The sequence below is a fragment of the Homo sapiens genome, chromosome 1 (genome assembly GCF_000001405.40).
Source record: "Homo sapiens chromosome 1, GRCh38.p14 Primary Assembly".
Lineage (NCBI taxonomy): Eukaryota > Metazoa > Chordata > Mammalia > Primates > Hominidae > Homo > Homo sapiens.
Genome location: NC_000001.11, coordinates 237,490,156 through 237,506,657, shown reverse-complemented (window position 1 = coordinate 237,506,657; position 16,502 = coordinate 237,490,156). Strand labels below are relative to the sequence as shown.

At 39.7% G+C, this 16,502-nt stretch overlaps 1 protein-coding gene across 18 annotated transcripts in view; it reads right to left on the bottom strand.

The window, feature by feature from the left end:
• The window catches only part of RYR2 (ryanodine receptor 2), a 791,805-nt gene that overhangs the window by 327,331 nt on the left and 447,972 nt on the right, over nt 1–16,502 (bottom strand). For all 18 annotated transcript variants that reach the window (XR_007062490.1, XR_002957299.2, XM_006711802.4 and 15 more), the window contains 5 exons: nt 14,734–14,852; nt 13,571–13,704; nt 9,906–10,147; nt 5,755–5,947; nt 3,153–3,369 (listed from right to left, as the gene is read on the bottom strand). Coding sequence is in view for 16 of the 18 variants with exons in the window: in XM_006711802.4 (XP_006711865.1) it covers nt 3,153–3,369; nt 5,755–5,947; nt 9,906–10,147; nt 13,571–13,704; nt 14,734–14,852 (905 nt within the window). In the remaining 2 variants the exon portion in view is untranslated. The remainder of the gene's footprint in view (nt 1–3,152; nt 3,370–5,754; nt 5,948–9,905; nt 10,148–13,570; nt 13,705–14,733; nt 14,853–16,502) is intronic.

Below are 16,502 nucleotides of genomic sequence, written 5' to 3'. Positions count from 1 at the left end.
CAGTGCCAACAGTCTTCACTGCAAATTGAACTAAATAAAACTGCCTCATAAACCAGTAATCATAGAACAAAGTTCTAAGCCATCTATTTCACGACATTCTTTTTTTTTTTTTTTCCCCTTGAGACGGAGTCTCACTCTGTCGCCCAGGCTGGAGTGCAGTGGCGCGATCTCTGCTCACTGCAAGCTCCGCCTCTCGGGTTCACACCATTCTCCTGCCTCAGCCTCCCGAGTAGCTGGGAATGCAGGTGCCCACCACTACGCCCGGCTAATTTTTTTGTATTTTTAGTAGAGACGGGGTTTCACCGTGTTAGCCAGGATGGTTTCGATCTCCTGACCTCGTGATCCGCCCGCCTCGGCCTCCCAAAGTGCTGGGATTACAGGCGTGAGCCACTGCGCCCAGCCTTCATGATATTCTTTAAATAAATTTTGGTACCTTTTTTTTTTGACAACTTAGGTTTCCAAATCAATTTATGAGCCACCAGAAAAAAAAAAAAAGGAGTGTTGGTGGGGACAACCAAAAGATGTTTAATGGATATGGGGCTACTACCAAGGAATGTATAATTTAAAATGAGAAATCATCCCCAAGCTCTTACACCAACTGGGCCAGCATTCATTAGCCAGAGTAAAGGCAATTCAGTGCCCACATTATAGTCCATCGGATCTTTGAGCGTATAAATGTCTGACTAGTGATTGATATCTTCCCCTACACTCTACTCTGTTACTGTTAGTGGTTTCTAAATATAAGCTTCACAGAAAAGAAACAAAATCTTTATATGTTCCCATTAAAAGGAAGAAATTGAATGTTCATAAAAAACCCAAGGTAAGGGACTGGTTGTTTACGTCTTGATTAAGCACTTCTGTGTGACCCCACAGCTAGTCTCGCAACACATAGAGTGGGCAAATGACCACAATGCCCAACGACGAGGTGGCATTCCCAAGAGAAGCAGGTGATAACTGTTTCCTTTCCCTGATAGAGGTTATCTGGGTCTCAGGTAATCCTTAAGTTTCTACCATGATGTCATCTAGTTGTTCATTTCTAGTCTCCCAAATCTTTTTTCCTATAAACTTAGGTTGCACTATACATATCCTCCCACCTTTTAGCAATGGGCAATGCAAACTGAATTTTGGCCATGAACAATGTTTGCATGTTTATTTTAACAACATGATATAAAAAGGGGGAACAAGAAATACGATTTGAGGAGCTAAAAATCTGATTGCTAAGCAACTGAAGCTTTGGAGGCATGGTATTAATTCAAGTTCAGACTTTGGAAGCAATGTCTTTGATCTTTAAAAACTAAGAAACAAACTTTGAATATCTAAACAACCTCACTGAAGCTACTTCACCATCAATATAAGTCGATATTGAATTCATAGCCAACCTCAGAACACCATTACATCTATGAAACAGAAAAAGAGGAACAACAGCTAACATTTGTTGGGTGACTATTTGCCAAGTAATATGGTATCTATTAACTATGACAAACATACTCTAAGCATCCCAGTAAAGAAGGTGAGCAGCTCCCCTAAGGGAAGAGTACTTGATGCCAGGCACTTTGACTCTAGAGTTCATGATCTTAATCTATACCCAAGATAAAAGTCAGCTAAATATCTTCCAAATAAGCGTATCGAAGAAGGAAATGAGAAGAAATTGAAAACTCCATGTTTCCTATACGGCATCCTCATCTTTCTCTATATTCTCCTTAGAGTCTCATAGGAGTGTGAACCCTATTGTGAACTGCGCACTCCTTATGAGACTCTAACTAATGCCTGATGATGTGAGAGAGAACAGTTTCATCCCAAAGCCATCCCCACCTTCAACCCCAGCCCACCGGCTCGTGGAAAAATTGTCTTCCAGGAAACCGGTACCTAGTGCCAAAAAGGTTGGGGGCTTAAGAACTACACTCTAAGATCGGTGTGTGTCACATCTGTATGATATTACTTCAAGTGCAGTACATTACCCCAGATATTAAATCATCTTAACACTATTATACCTTAAAATTTCTTGCACGATTTTTGTCACTAAGTTCCACCTGTTGCTATTATTGCCTATTTTTAAAAGTATTGTCAGGCCTCTGAGCCCAAGCCAAGCCTTCGCATCCCCTGTGACTTGCATGTATACATCCAGATGGCCTGAAGTAACTGAAGATCCACAAAAGAAGTAAAAATAGCCTTAACTGATGACATTCCACCATTGTGATTTGTTTCTGCCCCACCCGAACTGATCAATGTACTTTGTAATCTCCCCCACCCTTAAGAAGGTTCTTTGTAATTCTCCCCACCCTTGAGAATGTACTTTGTGAGATCCACCCCTGCCCGCAAAATATTGCTCTTAACTTCACTGCCTATCCCAAAACCTATAAGAGCTAATGATAATCCACCACCCTTTGCTGACTCTCTTTTCGGACTCAGCCCGCCTGCACCCAGGTGATTAAAAGCTTTATTGCTCACACAAAGCCTGTTTAGTAGTCTCTTCACACAGACGTGCATGAAAAGTATAATATGCACTTTATAAACTAAGTAATATTAATTATTTTAATAAAACTTTAAAGACAACCTTGAACAGTGTTTTTAACACCTCAGGTTGTAATCTGTTCGTACATTAGGGAATCAGTTTATTGGGTTGGGAAAACTACTTAAAACATAGAATAGAGGCCAGGCACAGTGGCTAATGCCTATAATCCCAACACTTTGGGAGGCCAAAGCGGGTGGATCACCTGAGATCAGGAGTTCAAGACCAGCCTGGCCAACGTGATGAAACCCCATCTCTACTAAAAATACAAAAATTAGCCAGGTGTGGTGGTGGGCGCCTGTAATCCCAGCTACTTGGGAGGCTGAGACAGGAGAATCGCTTGAACCCAGGAGGCAGAGGTTGCAGCGAGCCGAGATTGCACCACTGCACTCCAGCCTGGACAACAGAGCACGACTCCATCACAACAACAACGACAACAAAAACATAGAATAGAATAGAAAATGAGTGAGTGGACATGGTAAAGGTAAGTGTTATTTTATGAGACTCATTTCAGTCCTACATGTCAACTGTACAACTGTATTACTGTGAAATTCGTTCCTATGGGTTGTGGTCCAAGTGTAAAGCCACTGTGTATCAGCATGACTGCAATACCAGTGATTGCCATTCGAGTGGATCTTGGTACCTGGCTGGTATCCACAGGGATGGGTGTGAAGGCAGCTTGCGTCAGGGAAACTGTGGGGCCCAGCAGGTCGCGTGTGTAAGTTCTTTCTTGCTTGTACTCTCGGCTGTGTTCCACTTTCAACTTTTCTTTTGGCAGAACAGCTTCATAACAAGGAGCATACCCAGGTGGAGGAAGAAATTTGAATTCTCCATGTCGCCCTCCAAGCAGAAAGCGTACTCTAAAGAGGATGCACGTTAGAGTCAATTTTATCTCTGGTGTACATTAAAGTTTTCTAATTCACAAAATCTTAGGGAAAAATTGTTAGTACAAAAGTATTTTATCAGAAGCCACATTTTCCCCTACGTACCATCATAATGTGATCACCTTAGAATTCAAGGGCCTCTAATTGTAAAAGGTAAAACATGAGGACATCATATTCATCAAAAGAGAAAACCTGCTTAAGTTAATTAATGGGTCAGTGAAGACATCACCTGCTGGAGAAGTAACCAAAAGCACATGCACCACATTCTTACGGGAATGAAGTGCATGTCCGTAATAACTGGTCACTTAAAGTCCCAAAGTACCGAAAGATAAAGAAAAGACCTGATCTAAATATCTATATGCTTAAAATTACAGGATTTAACAAGGAATGAGGGGAAAAACCAGTCACTTTTCTTTTCTTTTTTTTTTTTTAGATTCTTTTTTCACTTTCTTGGTCACTTTTCAATGTCCAATTTCCTAATGAAATTCTCTGAAGCAGGGGCCCCAACCCCCAGGCCACGACAGGTACCAGTCCGCGGCCTGTTAGGAACCAGGCTGCACAAGGGAGGAGGTGAGCTGTGTGGGCAAGAGAGCATTACCGCCTGAGCTCTGCCCCCTGTGAGATCAGCAGTGGCCTTAGATTTTCATAGGAGTGCGAACCCTATTGTGAACTGTGTCTGTGAGGGATCTGGGTTGCTCATTCCCTATGAGAATCGAACTAAGGCCTGATGATCTGAGCTGGAACAGTTTCATCCTGAAACCATCCCCACCTTCAACCCCAGCCCTGGCCCGTAGAAAAATTGTCTTCCACAAAAGCGGTGCCTAAGGCCAAAAAGGTTGGGGACTGCTGCTTTAAAGGAGATTCTGATGTCACTTCAACTTGAAGAAAGCAGGTAACCTTATCGCTAATTGTTTATCAATCTCAACAACGAAAAAGAACTTACTAAAATCTTTTATACATTCTGCTCATTTAAGCAAAACTATTTTAATCTGAGTTCCATTGAAAAACACTTTTTGAAACAGTTAAATGATATATATTTCCTGGGGCCCTCGGGTTTACAAAAATAAATTTAAATTTTTCATTTTCCTCGTAATTCTTTTTTTGTGTGTGTCAAGGTCTCACTCTGTTGTTCAGGCAGGGGTGCAGTGACACAGTCACAGGTTACTACAGCCTCCAGCTCCTGGGTTCAAGTGATCCTCCCAACTCAGCCTCCCGGGTAGCTAAGACTACAGGCATACAAAACTAGGTGCTAACTAAAGAAACAAAACAAAACAAAACAAAACTTTTGCAGAGATAGGGTCTCACTGTGTTGACCAGGCTGGTCACAAACTCCTGACCTTAAGCAATCCTTCCACCTCGGCCTCCCAAAGTGCTGGGATTACAGGTGCAAACTACTGCACCTGTCCATAATTCTTTTTCTAATTTGTGTATCAGGTCCAGTCCAAAAAAATAAAGAAAAGCAAAGAAAAGTGAGGAAAAATAAAAATGTTAAAACATTCCAGAAGCTTATAGAAACATAATTTGTATAAATACATCAGAAAAAGTAACTGGTACGTGGATAGCTAATATTCATGATTACTCTGTTTCTTCTTCAATATGATGCTTTTGTAACTAGGAATTATTCCTGGGAGAATTATAACTAAAAGAATAACTGAAACAAATGGAGTCCTTCTAAGTGTACAGGTGTGTGTGTGTATAAAAATAAGTGACAGAGTAGTTACTTATTATAACAGACCATCATTTATTAAAGTTTCATTTGCAGAACTACAATGGATTATCACTTTAATTTGTTTCCCTCTGGTAATAGCAAAAAAGGAAAGAGTGTGAGGAAACCATCTTGGCACCATTGACCATGGGCAGAGAATAAAGGAATAAAGAGAATAAAGGTGGAGAGGAACACTGAAGAAAGCCATCTGGGCCTCATCAACAAAAAGGATATTTAATTTCTATTGAAATAAGAGGGTGTGCAATGGGGTGAGGAACTATGTCTTAAAAAAGGAAAATGAATGAAAATATAAGAAAATAAGCAGTATTTTTTAAAACAGCCTTGCTCATTTCATCTAAATAAATGAACTAAAAAAAAAAAAAAAAACACCTTGAAATAGTTCAGGACCCTGGTTTGAGGGAGACTGCCCACATCTAAACACTGTGGGATCCGTAAACAAAGCATTCAGCCTTGCAGGATGCCCATCTTAGGTGAGGCTTACCTCCTCCTTCAAGGCACAGGCAAAATGCGCAGAGGACAGGTGCCCAGGAGAGACAAACAATGGTTAGAGAAGAAGGGCAATGGCAGTGCAGAGTCTTCTGTGGAGGTATGAGAAATGAGAAAGGAAAGAGACCAAAAAACATAGACATACTAACTTTATTCCTGCAGAGAAACTAACGACTGGAAAGAAGAGGCCATCGATGTTGAAATTCTCAAACATTCCTTGAACAGGTTGTCCATTAATTCGGAACGAGATGCTTGGGGCACTCAGATCTAAACAGCAACTGATGACATCATCAGTTCTTAACAGATGTTGGTTTGGTGAGCTTACAGTACGAGCAATACAACCTATTGGGGGGAAAACATTAAGGAAGGTCATGTATTTTTTTATCTCAGAGAATCAGCTTCAGAGCCAAAGTCAAAAGATTTGAATAAGTAGTGACAAACCAATGCACAACATCAGAAGGAATAAATCTTGAATGTAAACGCATGTTACATGTTAAACTCTTTGTCAAAAAAATAAAAAGATTATTTCAGGAGTCAGGCTGCTACTTATGTTGTAAAATGGACCTTCTGATACACAGAAACTTCTGCATGTAGACGGATGGCAACTGATCCAGAAATTATCTATGAGCAGATTATATAATGATGTCAAAGGAACATCTCCAGGGACTTCAAATAGCTACCTTACCATCTACTACTTGTAAGACCATAACCAAATTACTTAACCTCTCTTAATTTGGATGTCTTATAAACAGAACACCAAGTACCATCACCTTGTTTAGTTATTTTGACGATTAATGTTTTACAAGTAACAGAGTCTCAGGCACAGCAGGTACTTCATGTCAGTCCCTTTTTCAAATGCTAAACTCCCTTCATTCTATCAATTTAAAATAAAAATACATAAAGATAACGAAAGCAGAAAATATGATCATTCATTCCTGCAGCACGTTGCTTATTGTGAGACAACTATAGGCCAATTGGCCTATAGTTTTTCATTTATTTCACACAAGATCTTGGTTGGCTTCTTAAGTAAAGCAGGATATAACTGGAGGTGTGAAAATGATATTGGATAAATGTTATTTATTGCCCCGGCAAGACCAACCTATGGTCTAAGCCCATTCCTGATTCGAAGAACTCCTTTGCTAATTCGTCCCGAGAGCATCTGCTTCTCACTGCACAATGAAAGAAAAGAAGGTAAGGTTCTCCCAAACACACATGCTCATAAACATAAACAAAACCTTCAACTTGAGCAAAGACAAAAATAGACTTTGTGATACATGCTTTGTATTTTTAATAATTCTTTTTATTTCTAGCATGCCAATATCTCTACCAAGGACATATCTGAAATGCCAGTAGTAGAGAATACCTATTTTTTTTTTAATGTGGACACTTTCTATTTTACCAATATTCAAATCCACAGGCAATAAATTCACTATCAAGTGTCTCTTCTAGAATTCCCTGAATATAATAAAGGCAGCTTTTTAAAAAAGTCATATAAAAGCAATGCAGAAAAAGGTCTAGTTTCTTGTTTGTACCATGATCTGTAGCTAATAGCGATGTTATTTACACGATATCTATTATAATCAAATATATTTTTCACTTGGAGGGATACGATAGCTTTATAGACCCTCTATTAGAAACCTGTACCCATCTTTCCTGTACATTCCTCCACACTACTTCTATATTTAAATTCTCTCAAAGCACCAAGATTTTTTTATACTTTTGGTCCTCTCAAACACCTGGGACCTGGATTCCCAAAATCCAGTTCTGCATTGACAGAGAGGAAGTGTAGCAACACCGCAAAGTTTAAATTGAAGAGAAGAAATGAAGACATAGCTAAAAACTTTTGCTTATGAGCCCAATCCTTGTTCCGAGAAATACTGCCACTCTCCAATTACAAAATGTTAAGTGGCAGAGAAGGTGCTCTATCCTGGAAATCACTGATATTTGATACTTCAAATTGTACATCAACCATTAAGAAGAAAACAGGAGAACGACCCCCAAGAAGGTTATCTGTTACTATGAATTCGAGCTTCATAACTCACATTCCAACTAATTTAGATTTGTCTTCATTAATTACGAATCTAAAATCAGCAAAGCATTTAATAGACTCCCAGTGGCTTAAGAGAAAATACTTTTCAACTGTAGGCCTGATATGATACGTATTTTCTTGCCATTTAAAAAAAATGAATAAAATTTCAAGATGCTTTTCTCCTGAAATTCCACTGCCTATCGTCCTTTCTGGTACATGTCCACAGATTCACTAAATTTTTTTTTGTTGTTCTTATTGTTCTACTGAACAGATACTTTGTAATAAAAGGTATAACGCATACAATTCAATTCCATAAGAACCAGGTACTTTTAATGTATCGAAAGAAAAAGCTTCAAATTGAATACAAAACAAAAATAGTAAAATATGTTATTGTATGGAGAGACTAAATGAAAGCAACTTGGCATTGTCGATCAATGTTTTTTTTTTTTCATCTAATCTCTGTGTAATGGGAAAACAAGTCCACGTGCTTCATTTATTCATTTGAGTACTTATTTCCTGCAGAGCAATACTAGGAGCTAGGGAGAGAGGGGGTAATAGTATCTAAAGGATTATAGTTCAAATGTTTTATAACATGGACTTTAGCCCTATTTTGTGTTTAATAGGTCTTCTGAAGTTAGGGCTCTTTCTCTCTGCTTGGTCAGCAGGACAATTTTCCTGTGGGAACAAGGCACTGTGACTATGGTCTGGCTGGCACAGGTCGCCTTTGTACAAAGCAGTCTACAGTACTGTGAGGACTCCAACCACATTCCTCAGAGGTTAGATGAAATATGCAAAACACAGCTTCAACCCCATAAATATATATATACCTTTTATGTACTCACAAAAATTAAAAATTGAGGCTGGGTACGGTGGCTCACACTTGTAATCCCAGCACTTTGGGAAGCGGAGGCAGGCAGATCACTTGAGACCAGGAATTCAAGATGAGCCTGGCCAGCATGGTGAAACCCCGACTCTACTAAAATATATATAAAAATTAGCCGGGCATGGTGGTGCAAGCCTGTTAGTCTCAGCTACTCAGGAGGCTGAGGCATGAGAATCGCTTGAACCCGGGAGGCAGAGGCTGCAATGAGCCAAGATTGCACCACTGCACTCCAGCCTGGGCAACAGAGCAAGACTCTGTCTCGAAAAAAAAAAATTAAAAATTCACAAAAAATCAAAATACAGCTTCCTCTCGTCTAGACAACTGAGCTATTGGCACTCAATGAAGAAAGAATTCAGTAAGTATCATTGTTAGATACAACTACATGGAATGCTTTTAGATATAAACTCATTAGCATAAAATCTTAGGTGTAGTTCAACTTATTTCTTATTTTTCATAAGTTTTAGGCCCATAAAGCATTCATAAATGTCTATCATTTGTACTCCACATGAGGCAAAGTTCAGCTTTATAACTTAAGGTAACTTTCTGCATCTTCCATATGCTAAATAATTTATAAACTATGCCAAGATCATACCAGGACTATATTCCAAATGCAGCTTTATTAATATAAGCTTATGTCTGCAGAATCCAGATGAATTTTAACATCTAAAAAATCTACATAATCAAGAGCTAAGCTTTTAAATGGAGCTAACCAAACTCTACTTCTTCATGAATCAGAGAAAAGAATATTATTTTTTAATATAAAGTATTCATTTTTAATATATACTCAACCATCAAAGCTAAGAGTTGGTAGCTGGTGAAATGACCTATTCCTTTATTTTTAAACCATTTTATACTTCTGAAACAAAGTGTCATTTGTTATGATCTGAGTCCTCATACCACACTTTACAAATTATTGATTTCCCACCATTACATTATCTAACAGAAGGCTGAACTTAGTCTATTTCTTCCCATTATTTTCCAAGATTTGTTTTTTGTTCTTTTATGTTGGCAACTAAAGCTTTAAACATACCAATTAAAGCAGAAAACTCACAAGTTTCTTGCAGTTCATTCATGCTTCGGAATGCACTCTTTAAATACACAGTATTGTTCCTAAGCAATACACTCTTATTTAAATCTACTCTTTAAATACACAGCATTGTTCACAAGCTCGGCAGTCCCTTGGAAATGTACTATAATTTTAAGTATTTTCTTTTTCCCCTAGTGAAATACTGCTTGTTCCTCAACACTCTTACTCATCATCTCAATGCTAAATTTCTGAATAATTAATACCCTATAGAAGTACCTAATGGAAGCAGCACCAATAGCTTTCAGAAATGCCCAGCAAAAGATCTTCTGGAACACGGTGAAAGAAAATGGATAGTACGTACCTGACCAGAGATGAAGGCCATCAAATCCATAGGAGAAGAGATCATCTCCAACACCATTTCCACCCCACTCTTCGCCCCCTCCAGGGTAGGGAGAATATCCTTCAGTGGAAGCCCAGCCCACTCGCAGGTGAGTTGCTTCAGCTGTCACAAAGGGCTCTGTGTGGTCCACCATCAATTCATAGTACCATTTCTTATACTGAGCAGAACCTTCACTGACGCCCAGAAAAATATTGGGTCTCATGCTTTAAAGAGACGGGAATCACATGTAAGGAAAGTCCAAAAAAACCTTTCATTGTTTTCATTTACATCTCACAATTTCACTTGTGTATTTCATTTAATTTTATTGAGACAGAGTCTTGCTCTGTTGCCTAGGCTGAAGCGCAGTAGTGCAATCATAGTTTATTGCAGCCACCATCTCCCAGGCTCAAGGAATCCTCCCACCTCAGCCTCCTGAATAACTGGCACTAAAGGCGAGTGCCACCACGCCCAACTAATTTTCTTTTTTATTTTTAGTAGAGATGAGATCTTGCTATGTTGCCCAGGATGGTATCAAACTTCTGAGCTCAAGTGATCCTCCTGCCTCGACCTCCCAAGTGCTGGAATAACAGGCATGAGCCACCGTGCCCAGCCACATCTCACTATTTTAAACATTAGTCATGCTTCTCTAAGATGCCACATATTAAATATATATTTCCTTAATTACTAAAAAATTATTAAAACTACCACTGAGGTAGTACACAGAGAAAGCCAGCTTCACTGTGAACATTCCATCAGCAGTTTTGCTTCTGAGATTTCTTGGCAGTGTCACCCAAGGAACTAATGTTATTTTGTCTTAATTCCTCTTCAGCATGTTGTGTATCATTAATCATATTTATGTCATAAACTGAGACACTCAGAGCAGACTTTTAGAATTAATGGAGTTATTGGGAATTCCGGACATGGAGAAATTTTCCTAAGCTAAGCTTTGTGTCACATGGGGCATGGGGCTGAGGTAGGTCATGTTGTTTATGAAGGAACCAAGGTGATTAATAAGCTTTGTTGTTCATTATGCCTCACTGTGAACAGAAAAAATACAACAGTAAGTTGTATTTAATTCCATTTTAGGAGTGGACATATACCCTATGGTAATACTAGGTAGAAATGAATGAAGGTCTCAGAACATATCACTCATAAACGGCAGGTCTGTTATATAAAGAATCATGAAGGAAATCTTAAATCAATACTGTAAAACAAACAAACAAACAAAAACATAGAAGGTGCTTGGACTTTGCTTCCTAGCTCAGCAGAGGTAACATAATTTAATATGTAATTGATTTATTTTAAAAAGGAGCTCCTCAAAAGGAGCGAAAGAAAAAAACCAGCTGTATCCATTTCCTAACAATTTCCATTTTTCCAGCACAGTGTGGTTGGAAGTACAGTTGGAAGACCATGGGTTTCCGAGTCAAGAGAGAAAATTTGAGCATCCATTTGCTAGCTCTGTGACCCGGCACTAGTTATGAAACCTTGCTCATCCTCCATTTATCCTCCTGGAAAATGGACTGGTAAACATCTATAAATTTAAGCATCTTGTGAGGATTGAATAATAGAATAAATGTAAAGTCTTTGCCCTAGAGTGAATATGCAATAAGTATATATGTATATTATATATTTTTAAAAAACACATTAGCTGGGTGCAGTGGCTCACACCTGTAATCCCAGCACTTTGGGAGGCTAAGGCGGGCGGATCACAAGGTCAGGAGTTCGAGACCAGGCTGGCCAACATGGTGAAACCCCGTCTCTACTAAAAATACAAAAATTAGCTGGGTGTGGTGGTGTGCACCTGTAATCCCAGCTACTCAGGAGGCTGAGGCAGGAGAATGGCTTGAACCCAGGAGGCAGAGATTGCAGTGAGCTGAGACCATGCCACTTCACTCCAGCCTGGGTGACAGAGCAAGACTCTGTCTCAAAAAACAAAACACATCATAGAAATACACAACAAACCCCACATTTCTGTTTAAAACAGGAGGAAGTTATCAGTTTCTCCAGGCTAGCTGCTAGATACAGTATGTCAATGTTACTACTATCACACACAGCGTTTTGTTGATTGTAAGCCGTTATTTCTTATCATTTATTTATGTGTTCATTTGAGGGATGTGATGGTTCATACTGAGTGTCAACTTGATTGGATTGAAGGATGCAAAGTATTGTTCCTGGGTGTGTCTGTGAGGGGGTTGCCAAACGAGATTAACATTTGAGTCAGTGGGCTGGGAGAGGCCGACCCATCCTCAATCTGGGTGGGCACCATCTAATCAGCTGCCAGCACAGCTAGAATAAAAGCAGACAGAGGGACGCAGAAAGACTAGACTGGTTGAGTTTTCCATCCTTCATCTTTCTCCCGTGCTGGGTGCTTTCTGCCCTTGAACATTGGACTCCCAAGTTCTTCAGCTTTTGGACTCTTGGACTTAGCAGTGGTTTGCCAGGGGCTCTCGGGCCTTCAGCCACAGGCTGAAGGCTGCACTTCTGGCCTCCCTACTTTTGAGGTTTTGGGACTCAGACGGGCGTCCTTGTTCCTCAGCTTGCAGACGGCTTTTTGTGGGACTTCACCTGGTGATCATGTGAGTCAATGCTCCTTAATAAACTCCCTTTCATATATACAGCTATCCTATTCGCCCTGTGCCTCTAGAGAAGCCTGACTAATACAGGGGATAAGAAAGGCAGTGTGGCGCGGTGGTTATAAGCTCAGTCTCTGGATTTAGATCTAAGTTCCACTTCCAGTTCCAGTTTTTTCGTCTATAAAATGTGAATCATCATGGTTCCTAGGAAAGCACAGACACAAACAGTAGAGAATACACGTAAAGCCCTTAGCGCCACAGCTGGCACATGGTATTCAATGAACGTTAGGTGCCTTGGAAGGCAGATCTAACTGAAGATGTAGTTTTATTGGTTATTTGCATAATTTATTACATTTTGGACATTCTATTTTTGATTGCACATAGCAGGTACCTCAAAATGATATTGAAGGGGCTGGGCGCAGTGGCTCACGCCTGTAATCCCAGCATTTTGGGAGGCCAAGGCGGGCAGATCACGAGGTCAGGAGTTCGAGACCATCCTGGCTAACACGGTGAAACCCTGTCTCTACTAAAAATACAAAAAATTAGCCAGGCGTGGTGGCGGGCACCTGTAGTCCCAGCTACTCGGGAGGCTGAGGCAGGACAATGGCCTGAACCCGGGAGGTGGAGCTTGCAGTGAGCCGAGATCGTGCCACTGCACTCCAGCCTGGGCGACAGAGCGAGACTCTGTCTTAAAAAAAAAGAAAAAAACAATGATATTGAAGGATAGTGTTTTTAGTTACATTCTAAGAAGATGTAAAGTACAATTATATACAACCATATACCTATACAGTTGTCAGGGTGGTCCTGAAGATGCCAATGGTTATGTATCTACATAGGAATGTGAATAAAAGCTCTTATACATGTGTTTGCGGCAAATCCATATTTTGCTAGGTTCATTTATTATTAGCCCATCTGATTGTTAGAGAAAAAGACATATTATTCACTGCAAAAATACAGAAAATAATACTATATGGTCTAATTTAAAAAACAGACCATATAGTATCAGCTACAGGGCAAGAACATTAATTCTTTTATTATGGTACCTGTCAGGTGACATTGTCTGTCTGAATTTACCTGCTGACATGGTTCACAAGACGTGTCTGCAATAACAAGTCTCTTCCTGGTAGGAGATTGTCACAGATGAGATGCTGGTTAGAACGGACTGCAACCCCGTGGCAAACACAGAGTGAGCACAAGACATCCAGAACCTGAAAAGAGAAATTACTTTCAGCTGATCCTCCCTCCCTCCCTGCTTTCCCTCCCTCCCTCCCTCCCTTCCTTCCTTCCCTTCTTCCTTCCTTCCTTCCTTCCTTCCTTCCTTCCTTCCTTCCTTCCTTTCAGACAGCATCTCACTCTGTCACCCAGGCTGAAGTGCAGTGATGCGATCATAGCTCACTGCAGACTTGAACTCCTGGGCACAAAGAATCCTCCTACCTCAGCCTCTGTAGGTGCATGCCACCACATCTGGCTAATTTTCTTTTTTTGTAAAGACAGGGTATTGCTATATTACCCAGGCTGGTCTCAAACTCCTGGCCTCAAGCAACCCTCCCATCTTGGCTTCCCCAATTACTGCAATGACAGGCATGAGCCACTGGGTGCAGTCACTGTCAGCTGATTCGAATTCCCCCTTCAGAATCAAGCATCAGCAGCACTTTTTTACAAAGCAAATGCATTCCTCCAGTTACATTTGACTCAGTTATTTAAACATTACAGTAGTTTCCCACTAATTTTCCAACTTTTCTTCATATATAAATTGAGAACTGTTCATGTTCCCACTGATGCTATGAATAAACACTAAAAAATATTACTTGATCATGATTAAGAGATGAAGCCCAGGCGCGGTGGCTCATGCCTGTAATCCCAGAATTTTGGGAGGCCAAGGCAGGTGGATCACCTGAGGTCAGGAGCTCAAGACCAGCCTGACCAATATGGTAAAACCCTGTCTCTACTAAAAATACAAAAATTAGCCGGGCATGGTGGCATGCACCTGTAGTCCCAGCTACTTGAGAGGCTGAGACAGGAGAATGCTTGAACCCTAGAGGCGGAGGTTGCAGTGGGCTGAGATCGCGCCACTGCACTCCAGCCTGGGCGACAGAGCTCGACTGCATCTCAAAAAATAATTAAGAGATTAAAAACACTCATGAAAAATTTGACACACTTTTTAAAAGTTATTGTATTTAAAAATATATCTAAAAGGATTTGAGAATTCATTCAGGGAAATAAAATAGTTCATTTACCTTGTGATTTCTTCCATGTTTGTCTAAAAGTGAGATAATAGATTTAATATGTCCTTCTTTAATAATATTTAGAGCTTCTGGACTTTCTACTAAAACACAGTGTAAAACTTCCAGAATGCCTAAAGATAAAACAAAGAAAGAGGAAAAAAAACACATGATTAATTGGTGTACAATGACCAGTGTCTTCCTTTTTCTACATAGGTGCATTCAGTACAACATGTAATTATCTGTGCTCAATGTGACTGTTACAAGGCACTGTGATAGGTGACAGGTGGTGTTTGGGAGAGGGGACTAATATCCAAAGATGAAGACATCACAGTTGAGGGAAGAAAAGGCAAACAACTGAGACGTGGTGTTTAGCAGAGGAAGCCGGTAACGCTACCCGAAGGAGGGCGTACACGAAGCAACACAGAGGTGGGGCCTTAAAGAATACGTTCATGACCATTTTCAGGCTTTCCAGGAAAGGAAGGGCAGTATGTGCATGAGTAAAGTCTTGAACGTGGGGCATATCTGGTGTGCCTCATGTACAGAGTGAGTGGGGGAGGGGACAGGTGGGTTAGGGCCAGTTTATGAAGCTTCTTGGCACTGAAAGTGTAATCCTGCAACAGTGCATCCCAATCCATGGAGATCATGACATTCTCCTTGAGGTTTATAGTACACAAGATTTCTTAGTTTGTTAAATAAGAGAAATATGTAAAATAAGACATAAATAAACAGAAATAACACAATGTATAAAACGGGATTAAAAATCGTGGTATTTTTAGGTACTAGCCACCACAAAATATAAAATAGTATATGCCTTTTCTTGAAGTTTAAAAAGGAAAGAAGAGAAAATAAATTTCATTATCAGAAATTTTAGCATGAACTTGTAAAGCTAAATGTGTACCTCTGTGTTCATGTTTTCTGAACAAGCTTGCCTTGTCAACAATGAGAATGGGTCCCATTCACACCAATTAGACCCAACATACAGAAAACATCACCTCTAAGAGTTACATAGTATTGGGAAGGGCCCCAGAGGAACCCTGTGGAAAGGGTCATACATCTCAAATGGAGTTAATATTCTTAGAAAAGAAATACAAAGTTTTACATTTACAAAGGTATCATAGAATACAGAGGCAATTCTCTATGGCTGTCACAATCTATATTTGATCCAAGCCCCAATCCATTACAAAACGAGGACTGTTAATGCTAATTTCTTCACTAATGACTTAGTTTGTTAAAACACAAATATATATTCAGCCAAAAGGATTTTGAGTTACATTTTGGAGCTGTTCAAAATCAGCTGCTGTGTTCCAACAATGCATAACAGTTAAAAATCAAAGACAACAGAAACTAATGCTACAAGAGGCTGACGAGTTAAAGCAGATCTTTATATAAGTATACTAAAACTGAATACCTTTTTTTTTTGCTATTACTAAAAACGTAGAAACAAAATAAACTCATTCATTCTGTGCTAAAATAAAATCATGGAAATGGAAAAGCATTTTTAATAGACTGGTCATGCTATCCCGATGTTTTTGTTTGTTTTCTCCCCATTATTGATTGCTATAGAGCACACGGCTGCCTTTTTATAAAAAATAATTTCAACTTTTATTTTCGATTCAAGGGATACATGGGCAGGTTTGTTACATGGATATATTGCATAATGCTGAGGTTTGCAGTACAATTGATCCCATCAACCAGGTAGTGAGCAAAGCCCAACCAATAGGTAATTTTTCAACCCTTGTTCGATCCCCCTTCCTCCCACTTAGTAGTGGCTAGTCTATTGT